Genomic DNA, 16408 nt, shown 5'->3' with positions numbered 1-16408 from the left:
CACTTAAAAATACTGACTGATATAACTAGCCAGCACAAATCGACAATAGAAAATATTAAAGTGATCAATATTGAATTGGGTGATCAAAACATATAAGATGATGTAACTGTCTACCTAGAAATTTCGAGTCAACTAAAAAACGTTAGAAATAATAATAGAAGTCATTAAATGTAATCATATTCTTATATAAAAAGGAAACATACATGGAGTGCAATAGAAGAGAAAATCCCATTTGCACTGGTATTCACATACAAAGTAATAATATGTTGAAATAAACATAACAACGTTCAAGACTTATATAGAGAACTCTACATAAAAATATATGAAATGACATTAAATTATATTTAAGTAAATGCAAAAATAGAATGTATTCTTGGATAGGAAGTTTATAAATATTAATTCATTCTAAACTCATATGTATATGAAATGTGATTATAATTAAATAACAAAAGGCAGAATGTTATCAAGTCCCCATTTGAAAAGGAGATGGAAATATCTAAAACAATTCTGAGAAGACAGATGAAAAGGGAATAATCTTGCTAGATATTAAAATATCATACAAATTTCAAAACCTTTGACATATTAATATATTAAATTTTCATTGTGTCAACATATTAAAGTACTTTGGAGCTGCATAAATAAAAAGTGGTTTAATGGAGCAGAATAGAGGCCAAAATAAATTATAATAAATATGGGATTTTGATTTACTACAAGGATGCAAACCAGTGGGGAAAGAGGGTGATATGGTTAGGCTTTGTGTCCCCACCCAAATCTCATCTTGAATTGTAATCTCCAGGTGTTTAGGGAGAGACCTGTTGGAAAGTGACTGGATTATTGGGGTGGTTTCCCCCATGCTGTTCTTGCAATACTGAGTGAATTCTCACAAGATCTGATGGTTTTATAAATGGTAGTTTTTCCTTAGCTGACACACACTTGCTCTCTCTCATCTGCTGCCATGTAAGACATGCCTCTTCCTTTTCTACCATGATTGCAAATTTCCTGAGGCCTTCCAGCCATGCAGAACTGAGTCAATTAAACCTCTTTCCCTTATACATTACCAAGTCTCAGGTATTCCTTTATAGCAATGTGAAAATGGACTAATACAGAGGGACTGAAGGACTCATTCAGTGGTTGGTATTTGAATAACAGGCTGCCATTTGGAACTGTGTAAACAGAAACTTTTCCTTTTACACGACTGTTCTGCCTTAGCTTGCTAGAGCTGCCGTAATACACACAAAATACTGGGTGGTTTAAACAACAGTGAATTATTTTCTTACAATTCTGGAGTCTAGAAGTCCAAGATCAAGATGTCAGCAGGGATGGTTTCTTCTGAGGCTACTCTCCTAGGCTTGTGGATGGCCATCTTCTGGTTTTTCCTCGTGGTCTTCCTCAGTATCCTTTTCTCTTATCAGAAAAGACATCAGCCGTTTTAGGTTAGGGCCCACCCTAATGACTTCATTTTACTTTAATTACTTTTTTAAAGGTCCTGTTTCCAAATACAGTCCCACTCTGGGTACTGGAGATTAGGACTTCAATATTTGAATTCTGAAAGGACATAATTAATCTCATTAGGAAGTGGGCACCCAGACCACCAGCAATCTTAAATCTCAACCTAGAATCAGAAACTCTGGGTGTGGGTCCCAATTGTGTGTACTTAACAAGTCCTCCAGGTGATTCTGAAGCATATTAAAGTTTGAAAACTACTCCTTAAACAAAAATGATTTCCAAATTATTAAGTAAAAAAACAAAATTAAGAGTTAGCATTGGGTTGAATAGTGAACCCCTCGAAATTCATGTCCACTCTGAAGCTTAGAATGTAAACTTATATGAAAATAAGGGATTTGCAATATAATTAGCTTAATTAAAATAAGGTTATCTTGAATTAGGGTGGGTAATAATCCAATGACTAGTGTTCTTCAAGAAAAGCAAAGGAACATAGACATGCAAAGAGAATGTCCATATAATGATGGAGGTAGAAATTAGAGTAATGTATCCACCAGCAAAAAACATCAAAACTTGTGGGCAACTACCAGAAGCTGGGAGAAACAAGGAAGGATCCTACGCTAGGGGAAGGACTTCACACAGGGCAAGACCCTGCCCTGTGATTTCAGATGTCTGCGTGATTTCAGATGTCTGCGCTCTAGAGCTGTGTGAAAATACATTTTTGTTGTTTTAGGTGACGAAGTTTGTGGTGCTTTGTCACAGCAGCCCTGCAAAACTAATACAGAGTATTAAAAATGGAATTTAATTATTTTTTAGTGGAGCGGACTTTTTATAAACAGAATATAAAACTCAGAAAAGAAAAACCTCCACATGGTAAGAAAAGTGCAATGTCAAAGAAAACAAATGATAAACTGGAAAGGGTATTAGTAATACTTACAAGAGGTCACTTTTTTTTTAATTTACAAAGCGTTCATAAAAATAAATAAGATGGTTAATAGGAATAAAATGTGAAAATGTGAGAGGACACTTTGAGGAAAAATGCCAAAATGCCAAAAAATGTGTTAAAACATGGTCAATGGCATTACTAAATTAATGCAAATTAAATCAGCAAGACATGATTCTTTTCATCTATCAGAATAACACATTAAGTTATAATGTTTAATGGTGGTAAATTTTAGAAATATAGGCAATCCCTTACATTCTTGGAGGAAGATAAATTTCACCTTTTCCATAAAGCAATTTGACCATATTGTAGGTTTTTAAATGCACACAGCAATGCGATGACTGAAAATTTACATACTAAATTATTTCAAGATATATGTAAAATAATATTTCTGGCACGATACTTTGCTACCAAAAAAACCCCGCAAATAGTCTACATATCCACCTATGTGATATAAACCAATTTAATTATGAGGTATCTGAATTAAGAAATAATAAGTCATTAATAAAATGGAATGAGATAATGTTCTTTGCAGGGACATGGATGGAGCTGGAAGCCATTATCCTCAGCAAACTAACACAGGAACAGAAAACCAAACACTGCATGTTCTCGTTTATAAGTGGAGCTGAACAATGAGAACACATGGACACAGGGAGGGGAACATCACAGGGAGGGGATTCAGGGGAAGGACAGCATCAGAATAAATAGCTAATGGATGCTGAACTTAATACCTAGGTGATGGGCTGATAGTTGCAGCAAACCACCATAGGTTTACCCATGTAACAAACCTGCACGTCCTACACACGTATCCTGGAACTTAAATAAAATTAAGTTTTTTTAAAAAAAGAAATAATAAGGCATTAAAAGATTGAGGTAGATTTCTATGTATTAATATGGAAAAATATTTGGTATGTTAAACGAAGATATTCAGGGGCAGAAAATGGAAGCTTGTTTAATTCTTTTTGTGTAAATAAAATAAGACGCGCTCACAAAAAAATATATTTCTAGAAGAAATCACAAGGAATGATTAACAGTAGATATCTTTGATAAAGGGTTTGGGGATATAAGAAAGGAAGCTCTTTTTTTCACATGTTGCTCATCTTTATGATTTAACTACTCTAAGCATAACTATTTAGAGATACAGATAAGAAAACCTGCATAAATATTGTGCCAATTTATTTTATCTGGATGGTGAGATTATGGGCTATTTTAACGTTTTTTAATTATAATTTTATGTGTAAAAACCTCTCATATTTTATAGCTGCAAAAAGGCCTGAGATAACTTTCGCCTTAATTGCTTTACAAACTAAAAAATAAAAAAATAATATGGACAAGCTTTCCATACTGTTTCCTAGTACTCATCAACAATAAGTAAGTGTTGTAACTAAGAATCCTTTGAATAAGTCATTTTGTAAATCAAGGGACTAGAATGATGTTGTATGATATAAAGAAACAGCACAGCCACCAGCCTTGTCTTAGAATTTGAAGGGACCAGTTTTGATATGCTGCTCTGTTGGTGGCCTATGACAGTAAACAATGATAGTGAACTTGGATTTTTGATCTTTCAAACAGAGACTGTCTTTATTATCATTCACTCTAATACCTCTGCCAAGCAAGGCGAGAAAAGATGTGGGGAAGGAAGGATGTTTAGATAATTCAAGGTAAATAATTTACTTCACATAATATATGATAAATGGTAGCTAAGAGCTCAAGCTCTGGGGTCAGGGGATTTTGTCTTTAAATTTCAGCTTCAATGTGACTTAATTTATTGCCTGAAGCAACTCAGCTTCTTGGTGTCTGTTTTCCCATCTGAAACAAGGACAATAATTAGCTTCTTCACATAGGGTGATTGTATTAAGTGAACAAATGCAGATACTCTGCACAGGGCCTGAGAAGGAGCAGCATTTAAAAAAGGAAAAAATTCGCCATAAAAAGTGTTATCTTGGAAAAAGACAAGGAATTCATGTATTTACAATTGCAGTTATAATACTATATGAAACAGATACCATGAACAAGTCCAAAGGACCATGCAAATAAATTGCATTGTAGCTGACTGCAGATTGGAGCAAAACTAATTATTTTAAAAAGAGCAGACATGCACATTTAAATGATGTTAGAAATAAATTATGTGTTTTCTACATATCAGACCCATTTCCACTCCATATAGCACATTTTAACTTTTGATTGAGAATAAGATTCATTTTAACTTTTTTATTCAAAACTGTTAGCAGCACAAATCCATGTGGGTCTGCAGCAACTCAATTCTTGCTCAGAGGAAAGAATTCACCCAATGGGGATATGGCAGAGTGAGAGACGGAGGGAAGTTTTAAATCAGGAGTCAAAGTTTATTAAAAAGTTTTAGAGTGGAATGAAAGGAAGTAAAGAATACTTGGAAGAAGGCCAAGTGGGAGAGTTGGGAGATTCAAGTACATGGTTTCACTTTGGTTTGGGGTTTTACATGTTGTCATGCTTCTGGGGTCTTGCATCTCTTCTCCCCTAATTCTTCCCCTGGGGTGGGCTGTCCCCATGGACAGTGGCCTGTCAACCCTTGGGAGGGGCTGCATGCGCAGTGTGTTTACTGAAATTGTGCACATGTTCATTTGAGCCATTTCCCTTACTAGTCAAGTGTTCCCAGAGGGAAGTCATATACCAGTTAAACTGCCATTTTTCCTCTTAGTGCACATGCCTGAGCCCACTCGCCCAACTCCTATGACCTTATCGGAAAGCTGCTGATCACCAGCTTCTGGTGTTTTTTATCTATTGGGAGATTGCCTTTCCCTGGTGCTGGCTGCATCCAATTATTATTTTAGAGAGAGACAGTTTAACAACCACCTTACCATCACCTTATGGTCACCTGATAATCATGGTGGTGAGTGGAGGAAGGGTTCTGCCCTGCTCATGTCTGCCTAACTACCTACTCTAACAAAACCAATGACACAGTTATCGAAGTAAAAAATAAACCTTTCCCCACATTTCAACATGAAGTTGTGCATTTCACTTGTAACTAATACATAGTTACATATTAGGTGCTCCAGGAATCACCTAGATTTTAGTGACAAGATAAAAGATGTTTGGTTTTCACAGTGCCAGTTCATTTGCTTGTTTCCATGTTTGTTTTGTGACCCTTGGTAAGTCTGCTGTCTTGAGGGAGGTGATGTCCTGATAATCCACTGAATTTATAGTTATTCCTTTTTTGCAGAACCAACAACATACAGAACAACAACAACAAAAACTTTCCTAAACTGAGTTGTTTTTTTCTTTTTTTTTTTGTATATTGACAGATGTTTAAAAACCAAACAATACTTACTTGTTTTAACATCTTCCTCAGACATTCTTTTTTAATGTAAAAGAACGTATTGAGTTACCTGGATGAAGCTGAGTGTTGCCATCTTCTCTGAGTAAAATTGCAATATGAGATGCTTTGTGCTAAGAGTAAACAAACACTCCTCATGGGTTCCCTAGAGCAGAGGACCTCAAAATGGGATCTATGACCAGGTTTTAGGGGTCAGTAATCCCCCTGAATTCGTATGTAATGTTTTGTGTGTATATACATCACTTCCATTACATATTCAGATAAGTCTTTTATCTAAAAATTCTGCATTTCTACAGGGCACAAACCCCAACATATTTTAGAACTTTCAACCAGATGAAGTTTGGTAGGCCTATCACTCAATTGCTGAGAGATTGAGAGAGAAGTAACAAGTAAGGTCAGCTTGGAAGCATACTGTTTGTGATTAAAAGGAATAATTTGGTGACCCACTTGGAGAGAGTAATAAAATCTGCATTCTAAGTCTAGCTAACTATGAGTCTCTTTGTAGAATGCGAAGGTCTTGGTTTTTCTCCATTCACATAGTGTGTAAAACATGGTCACTGAATAAGCATGTTCTAATCAAAGTTGAGTGTTGTTTTATAATTTTATTTTACCTATTTTTCCTTTAGTTTAGTACACAGAAAAACATTTTTGTAAACCTAAGCTGTAAAGTCTTTTCTGCTGCTTTTTAGGAGAATCTAAATTGAGTTTTAAATAAGGGAAGGGAAATTGGAGTATAAATATCCTTATGTTTATAATACCTTTGCCCTTGTAGTTGGATGTAGGTGTCTTTTACACATGGGGAGAATTGGGTTCAATATGTTTTTTAAAGCAAAACAAATATCACAATCTAAAGTCAATATATATTTTCGACCCAAATTATATTCATACTGATATGATTGAAAAAGACAATGAAAAAGTCAAACTTTCGTTCCATTGTTGGAATAGTATATCATGAAGAAAGCATTTGTGGGTTGTCTCTTAAGAAATTTGGGGGGTTATTGAAAACTTTTTATTCTCTATAATAAGAATCATCATTTCTCTATAATAAGAATCATCATCTCTATAATTGGAATCATCATTCAAGTTGTTATGGGACTTGAGAGCATATTCAGAACTTTTCTCTGAGGGTCTGTTATGGAATACAGCTAGAGAACTCCATCTAGTCAGGTTTAAATTATGAATGTTTTGACTCTATTTGGGGCATGTGAGACAAATTATACATCCTGGTCAGCACACTCCTTTTGGGATGGAGCTGCCTGTTTCTATAATCATTGATGCACTCATAAACAAAGGACGACATCTTTTCCAATAAAAGATTTTAAGTATACAATTTGCAGCCCTGAGTGTAAAATGCCCCAGAATAATATGAATAGACAAAGTAGCTTAAATTCCCTTCCGATTAGAGGTCATAAAATATGAACATGCTATTTAAATACAACTCAAGAAGAAAAATGAAAAACAGACTACATTTTCTTATGGTACAAATGCTCAGCCTTACAAACATTTGCAGAGAAAAAAATTGAAAGTGTGCGTCTTGATACATGCTATAATACAAATGCATGCTAGAACCAGATTCTTGTGAATTATACCCTCTTCTCAGACACACAAGCACAATCTTCCATTTCTTGGCTGTCTGTGGATTAGAAAGAGCACAAATCTGATTTTTCTTTCAAAGGTATCTTTCTCTCTTTGTCTTGGCTTTATCTCAGTTCATTTTCCTCTTAGTGTTCATTTGACAAGCATTTTTTGTTGTCACCCACATGTCACCCATATATGTATATTCATATTCACTCCACTTAGCAAAGTAAGGTCAGAAATGGCTTAAAATAACCATCAGTATATTGATTACCTAGCCAGTAATTTGTGAGATAAAATTTAAGTTCGCTGATATCAAAGCTCATAATATCCGAAGATGTCTTCTTTTTAACTTAAAGCTGGCACTTTTCTGTGGAGAGCTAACAAGTTCTGGTTAAATAGCCACCTCTGCAGAATATGAGATGTAAAACATCCCTCCCACAAATAATCAACCTGAGTGCCAACAATAAAGCAGTATGAGTCACATCTAGAGAATTAACAAACAATAAGAACTCAATCAAAAGCCAGTCTCTTTTTATCACTATGAGCCAGACATTTAAATGCTATCAGTGATAAAGTATTTTCCTGAAAAAATATTTTGTTGGCCAAATTCTAAACAGTTGCTTTGTTTACTGCTGAATTTCAATAATATTTAGTCAGCCTTCAAAATAGCATATATTTATCATTTGCCCTATAGAAAAAAGTGTATTCCACAGGGATGTTAATTTGGACAATTACTCTTACCTCATCAGGTCTGATACCATGACATCTGTGGACTCACTTACACATCTGCCTTAGAACTAAGACTATCACAATTCAACCTTGTTCAACCTTGTGTTGGCCACAGTACCTCCAGCCTCTGTAGCACCACATATTCCTTTGTTTAAACAGTTGATTCTAAGTTAAAAATATTAGCACCCTGATGGGAAAGATGAAGAGACAGAACTTGAGTTATATCAGTTGTATCATTCTTTGTAACCATCTAGAGTTTTTAATGGTGTTTAAAATTTAAAACAGTGAACTAGAATATGAACTGTGAAGTGTAATATTTTTGTTTCAGATGTGTAAATCTTAGTTCACACATTAAATCTTTTACTTAATTTGAAAGTCTTTAAAATTGATATTTATTAATCTTCTATAATTGTTATACAATGTTTAATAAATCCAGAAAAAATATAATTATTGTTTTACATGATTATTATTGAAAATATTTTTTCATACAGAAGAAGGAAGTGTTGACATATATGTTAATTATGCCACTGATTGCAAGCTTAATCCCATATTAATTATAAAGTAGTATCTAATCAACTATTTGGTGACTCTCATGATTAATCTAATATTGTCATGTAAAATAGCTGTTAGTACAGCCAAAACTCTATGTCTCTCAGAATTCAGGTGCCTAGGCATTTTTGATATACATAGCTCTTAGAGGCTGTTGAGTTCAGAGATAGAAACTTAATAAGAAATGAGACTTAGGGGGAATATCTGAAAATCTTACTCCCAAAGGCCATTTACACATGCTCATGTGCACATGCACACACAGAAACTCACGCACACACACAAAACAAGTAGAATGATGGAGATAGAGAAGTACATACTTCTCAGACTCACATGTTTTGAAGCTTTCACTCTTGTTTCTCTGGAACATGTTTAATAAAAGAATTCAGTTTTGCCTCTCAGCCCCAAATTCCCTGACGCAGGACTTTTATCTCTCATCTCTAGGTAATCTCCATTTTTCTCCTGTCCTCCAACATATACATCCCTAATACCCTAAAAGTATCATAGTGGTTGGCAATTAATACCAGTTTGAGTCTGAAACCAGCTCAAGCCTCATTTCAAAAAAGCCCGTATGTAGACTACTCAGAAAACTGACTTCCAGAGAGAACTGTTTATTTTGAGCTGAAGAAGTTCTATCTTTCTTCACTACAAGCAAGTGGCACAAAGGTCACTCTGCCCTGAAAAACGATTTAATCAGAGGTTACGTGCTTTTCTGCTGTCCCGTCTTTATCCTACAAGTGACCAGGTATCAAATCTACTTGCATAACCTAGGAAATAAGAAAGAATAAATGTGTCCTAATTATAACCTGTATTAAGGTTAGAACATTTCTGATGTGACAAGTCTGCACAGTAACCCAAGGAATTTTTAGGCTTCTATCTAAACTATGCCTTATATATAATGTGTAATCTGCTGTTGGTAATGGCCTGTATGACAAAAGGATACACTTTCTTTGATGGTATAGTTTATCACACCCATAAAAGGCCATGCATAATTATTCTCCTAAATATGCAGATATTTTCCTAAAATTTGGACTATTTAGCTGAAGCTATTTTAACACCGGGCATGTTCTATGCCCAAGTAAAGAACTTAGAAGAGAATGCATAGGTTTTGGAATCTGTTAAAATGTCATTACTGCCAAGAATGTGACATATGGGGATAATTAGCTATTGTAGTCACCATGGACGCTATAGACTGTATTCTGGAATGTTACTAGAGCAAGCCTTCTCAGCATATTTTACATAATTTGGCAGTCTTCTTTATGAGCAATTCTAAAAAGAGTGGGCCACAAATTAACACAATAAAAATTATATTAAAAATAATTTATCTCATTTTTCAATTTATTCAGTCTCTGCCAGATTTAGACCAGGATATCTATTTTAAGGATCCTGAATAGAATACAATCTTGCTCTTCTCAAGAAATGGATTGGGGTCCACTGTCAGTGCTTGTGGATCTTCTCTGTTTCTATTTATCATTTATTTAGGAAACTGGCTCTGAGTGAACAAAATATACCTCATTGGATTCTGAGGCTATCATTTCAGAAAACTCTAGCATCTCTGTATGACTACGTTATATCTTTATCTTTTTCTTGATTAAACCTCAAGTATTATCAAATAATCCTTCTAACAACACAAACATGATTTTTTTCTTTCTCAAAATTAAGGAACTGTTTTTGTTACCAATAATTTATTCATTCAGACATTCTTTAGAACAGCAGTTGGTAAATTACAGCTCATAGGTCAACCTCGCCCATATTTGTAAATAAAGATTGCTTGAAACAGATATTCTCAATTGTTCATGTATTGTCTTTGGCTGTTTTCTCACTACAAAAGCAGAATTGAGTAACTATGACAAAGCCCAGGCATAACCTAAAATATTAATAATATAAACTTTATAGAAAAAGTTTACCAACCCTTAGGTTAAACAGATATTTATTGGGCACCTATTTTATATTAACCACTGTGCTGAGCACCAAAAATGTAACGGTGATGAAAATTTCCAAAATTCCGTAGTTAAATTATGATGCATTTAGTAGCAGAAAATATGAGTAGGAAGAATAAGGACACAAACTAGACATATTATTCAAATAGATAATATAAGCTCTGAAGAGGAAGGCATTCTCCATTAATTAAAATAATATTTGAAGAAACCTATCATGTATTCTTCAGTACAGTGACAAAGAGCACAAAAATTTTAATCTACTCTCTAATGCTCATGACTCCTAATATTATTGTCTTCAAAGACCACATCATGAGGAAGCTATCCATCAATATTCTACCAGAGGATTATATTTCAAAGTGAGATATCTGCAGATGGAGAAAAAAATCAATTTTTTATGTGATTTTTAAAGGCTTTCGTTATACCTGAAAATTATTTTATATATTTCTTCTCCAGTGGGAAATCAAAATATCACATTTTTTTGTACTGTGAAGGTTGAGCACAAAGATGATGATGACATTGCAGACACCTATGTACAATATATTTCTATTCAGTTTCTTTGAAGCAGCAACACTTAAGGTTTATATGACTATTTCTAGTTAACTTTATTCTATGACATCAAGCCAGTCATCTTCTAACTGGCCTGCCCTAACCACTTTAGACCTTGGCTTTGATGTGCCCGTCCATAGATAAATATAAAACACAAAACAAGTATCTTTCAATTAATCTGTGTATAACATTCTAATTTCAGAAATATAAATTCGAAATACACGTAAATGTCTTCAATGTGTCTAAAGGGACAACATGCATTCTAACTACTCTCCTTGACGTTTCTCTTCTGACCTCTAATATATTAAAAAGATAGGCTTTCTTCTGAACCTGGAATCACTTTCCTCTGTGCTGTAGAAAATTAGATGGGCATTCTTCAACACAAAGGTGAACTTAACTTTGTTCATCTTAATAAGGCTGCATTTTTGTTTTATTGTTTATTTCTTTTGTGTATTTATTTATTTATTTATTTGAGACAGAGTCTCACTCTGTAGCCCAGGTTGGCATGCAGTGGCACCATCTCGGCTCACTGTAACCTCCGCCTCCTAGGTTCAGACGATTCTCCTGCCTCAGCCTCCCAAGTAGCTGGGAATACAGTCACGTGCCGCCACATCTGGCTCTTTTTTTTTTTTTTTTTTTTTTTTGTATTTTTAGTAGAGACGGGGTTTCACGTGTTGGCCAGGCTGGTCTCAAACTCCTGACCTCAGGTGATCCACCTGCCTCGGCCTCCCAAAGTGCTGGGATTACAGGCGTGAGCCACCGCACCTGGCCTGTTGTTTATTTCTTTAATCATGACTCAGGTATTAAACTGAAGTTTTTAGAAAAACCTTCCAAGGGGTCCAGAGATCTGCTATTTAAATATGTCAGTGATTTTTATGCGAATCAGAATCATTAAATAATTTTTCAGTTATAACTTTGTTATACTCTCCCTTCCTTCAAAACTGTTATGAAGTAACTTATAATAAAAACATGGCTACAAGATATCTGCAAACAATTAATAGAATACTAAAGGCAGGGATTCATAAATAATGTGGAAGAGATGGAGATAGCCAATGACTGCAAATCTAGCAAGCAAATTAGCTACACTTTGGTGAGTAAGTGCAACAGAAGAAATACATGGAAATATAAATTCAGATGTATTGAAGTGATGTCATTTCTATAATAAAAGTTATTTATAATTATTTTAGAATAATATAAGGTATGTGATTGAGTTTATAATACAATACCCAGCACACTGTGGGTACTTATATATTTGTCAAATAAAAGGACAGATTGGTTCAATTTAGTTTTGGTAGAGTTTATAGTAGAAGTTAAATACCAGTTGACTTATATGTGGGTCACTAAGTGAAAACATAGTTTTGATAAAGCAATCTAGTATGGATTTTAGTCCATACTAGATTCAATTGTCTTTTACTCATTGTCATAGCATTGTAGTGGAAAAGAAACGAAAAATTTCTTTTCCATTTTCTTATCCCACTTTGATAATAATATCATAGGAAGTATTTAAGAGGGTTAGTTTGCTCAACATCAAAGATCTAAAGTTACTGTAACTATGTAAAAGTGATGACCTCATGTTTAAGGAAATTGTGGAGGTGTCTTCATCCATCTGGACTTTTTGGGTCCCACTCTTTCCATAGTATTCTAACTTTAAATAAGAGATACTGCAAGGGTGAGGAGTCAGTTTACATTGTAATTCAGCCATTTGTAGCAACAGACTTTGTGTTAAAATTTTTTGAAATCTCAAATCCACAAGAAAATGCTTTCTTCCAGGGAACTCATATGTGTTATATCCAATTTAGGATCTACTTTCATCTGGTTTTACACTTGATATTACTAGACTCACACAGTATGTATTCTGTTTTTTCTTTTCTTTTCTTTTTTTTTTTTTTTTTTTTTGAGACGGAATCTCGCTCTGTCGCCCAGGCTGGAGTGCAGTGGCGCGATCTCGGCTCACTGCAAGCTCCACCTCCCAGGTTCACGCCATTCTCTTGCCTCAGCCTCCTGAGTAGCTGGGACTGCAGGCACTCGCCACCACCCCGGCTAATTTTTTGTAGTTTTTAGTAGAGACGGGGTTTCACCATGTTAGCCAAGATGGTCTCGATCTCCTGACCTCGTGATCCACCCACCTCAGCCTCCCAAAGTGCTGAGATTACAGGCGTGAGCCACCACGCCGGCCACAATATGTATTCTATTATAATTTGCTTTTTTAGCTCAATATAACTCTAGCATCTTCGTATGACTACGTTATATTTTTATCTTTTTCTTGATTAAACCTCAAGTATTATAAAATAATCCTCTTAATAACATAAACATGATTTTTTCTTTCTCGAAATTAAGGAACTGTTTTTGTTACCAACAATTTATTCATTCAGACATTCTTTAAACCAGCAGTTGGTAAATTACAACTCATGGGTCAACCCAGCCCTTATCTATATTACATTTTAAGATTCATTCTTATTGACGTGTGCAATAATAGTTATACCATTTTGATTGATTTATAATAGTCCATTTTATAAATACCTCACATTTATTTATACATGTGTTTACTGATTGACATTTTGATTTTTTGCATATTTTTGTTATTTTGATAGATGGTGCTAATAGTAATTTGCACATCTATTGTTCATTTGTAAAAGTTTCTCTAGGGTCAAGTTCTTCAAAATGAGATCTGAGAACCATTAGTGGAATATGATATCAACTTAGCCATACTTAACCACAATTTTATTAAAATGTGAAGGAATAGAATTAAACATATTGAAAACATTAGACATAATAAGAGTGATGATTGCTTTATATTTCATCTCTATGTATGTGTATGTGTGTGCCTAGTCACAATGTAAAGTTAGTGAAAAGATTTTAAGCAACTCTACTTAGGATATATAGCTAGGAATGTAATCCTACACATTCAGATATTGCAAAATGAATATATTGGTGTATACTTTCAGTAGTAGTACATAATGGTTTCCATTTTTTTGTATCCTTACCAATACTTGTCAGAATTCAAATTTTGGTGTCAAGATTATATTGGTCTTATGGAATGAACAGGGTGTACGCCCTCTGTTAATACTTACGGAAAAATTGCTGTAAGATTGCTGAAAATTTTACAAACTTGTTCTTAAAATATTTAGTTCCTTGGTTTCCTTATGGAAAATTTTTTAACAAGTCATGCAGAATTTTTAATTATTTTGCAATTAGCTTTGATAAGTTATATTCTCCTAGAAATATATTAATCTCATCTGGGTTTTCAAATTTCTTGTCATAAAGGCATTAATAATTTTCATTCATTTTCTTTATGATTTTGGCATCATCTATACCTATGGGTTTTTATCATTCTTAATAATTTTTATTTATAAATTCTCTGTTTCTTTGATTAATATTTCTGGAGCTATGTCTATTTTATTAGGAGTTTTAATAACCAATTTTTACTTAATTCATCATCTCTATTGCATTATTGGTTTACGTTTTATTAATATTTTTGTATTTTTATTGCCTGATGGTTAATTCTCTGGCCATGCCAACTTTATGGGTTGGTGGCTCTGACAACATTCTGCTCATAATGAGTAGCTCAGGTCACATAATAAGGTGAAGGTAGTTAGAAGATAAAGTAGATAGTAAAAACAGCTATTCTAATGAGAAGGAGCCAAAAAGCAGAAGAAAAATTAAAAATAGGGGCATCTGTAAGATAAGGTTAAATGTATAAGATCTCTAAGAAAATTGAATAAGTTGAGACACAATTTTTTCTAAAGCCACACACTAATATTGGTTGAATACATGCACTATATTTTGCTTCATGAAACAGGGAATGGTCATACAGAGCAAAGAGCTCAGATCTTCAATTAAGTTTAATTTGGAACTACATCTTCTATTAACAGAAGTCTATTAAACTGGGAGGACTTTCCCACTAAGGACAACTGTAAAGGTTGAGTACTATTAAAAATAATTTCTTTGAGGTTTCAGGAAGATACCAAGATTGCAAAGAATTGCTGGCCCAGATCTGGGAGAGAATTTCTGCCAAAAAACATGAGTCATGTTTTCAAGGTTACTTTTCCTCCTGCTTCTGAGATACTAAGACACTAGATGTCACTTTTGAGAGTCACAGCTAAATAGAGCTGACAGGAAAGGCACATAGTCTAGGACCAGTTAGGAATAATGGACTACTAAGCCTTCTCTATAAGGTGGGAACCAAAAGTACTCTTTCCAGGAGTAAGAGTAAACCAAAAGTAGACAGGTACATGCAAACAATGTAGCTCAGCTTAAAAAATGTCAGTCTCTAAATTTTATTCAGCTAAGCCCAATAAGTTAGGACTCCCAGTTGACTGGTAGAAACAAGTGAAAATTATTCCTGCTGAAAGATAAGATTGCCCTAAGCTCAAATTATTTCTACAAACAATTTTGAAAATGAAATATTAGGAATAAAGGGACATAAGAAAATATGGAAAAAAAGAAAAACTCAGAAAACATAGAAGACAACAGACAAAGACTTACAGAGAAAAACATATATGAATTATCTGACAGTATTTTAGTTTACTTGCTCTATGCAGGAAAAGACAATATTGAAAATTCTTTGAAAAAACCCTTAAAAATATAGTAGAATTGAAGGATGCAGTATCTGAAATTACAAAGTCATTAGATGAGATTAATAGTGGGTTAGACATAGCTGCAGAGAGTATTAGGACATTGGAAAATTGGTCAGAAGAAACTATCTACAATGAAGAATAAAGAGCTAAAGTGATGAAAACTGCATAATAAAGACTTAAATAATACATTAAAAACATTTAAAAATATTTATAATTTAACTTTTTACAAAAATAGGAGAGAATGTAGCAGGAGTTCTCTTTCAGGAGATACTGACTGAGAACTTTCAAAACTAGTGAACAATCTGTCTACACATTCAAGAGGCCTCATCAACTCCAAATACCCAGGCCCATCCTAGAATACCTACAAAAACATGAAAGAAAAAAATCCTTAAAATGCCCAGAGTAGAAAAAAAAATGAAATTTCAAAGATCTTGGCTGGGCACAGTGGCTCACACCTGTATTCTCAGCACTTTGGGAGGCCAAGGTGGGTGGATCACTTGAGGCCAGGAGTTTGAGACCAGCCTGGCCAACATGGCAAAACCCCATCTCTACTAAAATGACAAAAATTAGTCAGGCATGGTGGCACATGCCTGTAATCCTGGCTACTTGGGAGGCTGAGACATGAGAATAGCTTGAATCCAGAAGGCGGAGGTTGCAGTGTGCCAAGATCATGCCCCTCCGCTCCAGCCTGGGCAACACAGTGAGAATCTGTCTCAAAAAACAAAACAAAACAACAAAAAAAAGTGATCTCCAATTGGGACAACAAATATCCTACTTTTCAACAGAAACGATG

At 34.4% G+C, this 16408-nt stretch overlaps 1 long non-coding RNA gene across 1 annotated transcript; it reads right to left on the bottom strand.

Moving 5' to 3' along the window:
• Nucleotides 1-1112: 1112 nt before the first annotated feature.
• On the bottom strand, nt 1113-9638 carry LOC105379138 (uncharacterized). Its single transcript, XR_948695.2, has 3 exons — nt 8886-9638; nt 8019-8193; nt 1113-1404 (listed from the first exon to the last, which is right to left on the bottom strand). It is a non-coding gene; the product is annotated as an uncharacterized LOC105379138 (long non-coding RNA).
• Nucleotides 9639-16408: the final 6770 nt, after the last annotated feature.

Source organism: Homo sapiens, chromosome 5, assembly GCF_000001405.40.
Source record: "Homo sapiens chromosome 5, GRCh38.p14 Primary Assembly".
NCBI classification, from domain to species: Eukaryota; Metazoa; Chordata; class Mammalia; order Primates; family Hominidae; genus Homo; species Homo sapiens.
The sequence above is the reverse complement of the archived record's forward strand: the minus strand, read 5'-3'. Positions and strand labels throughout refer to the sequence as shown.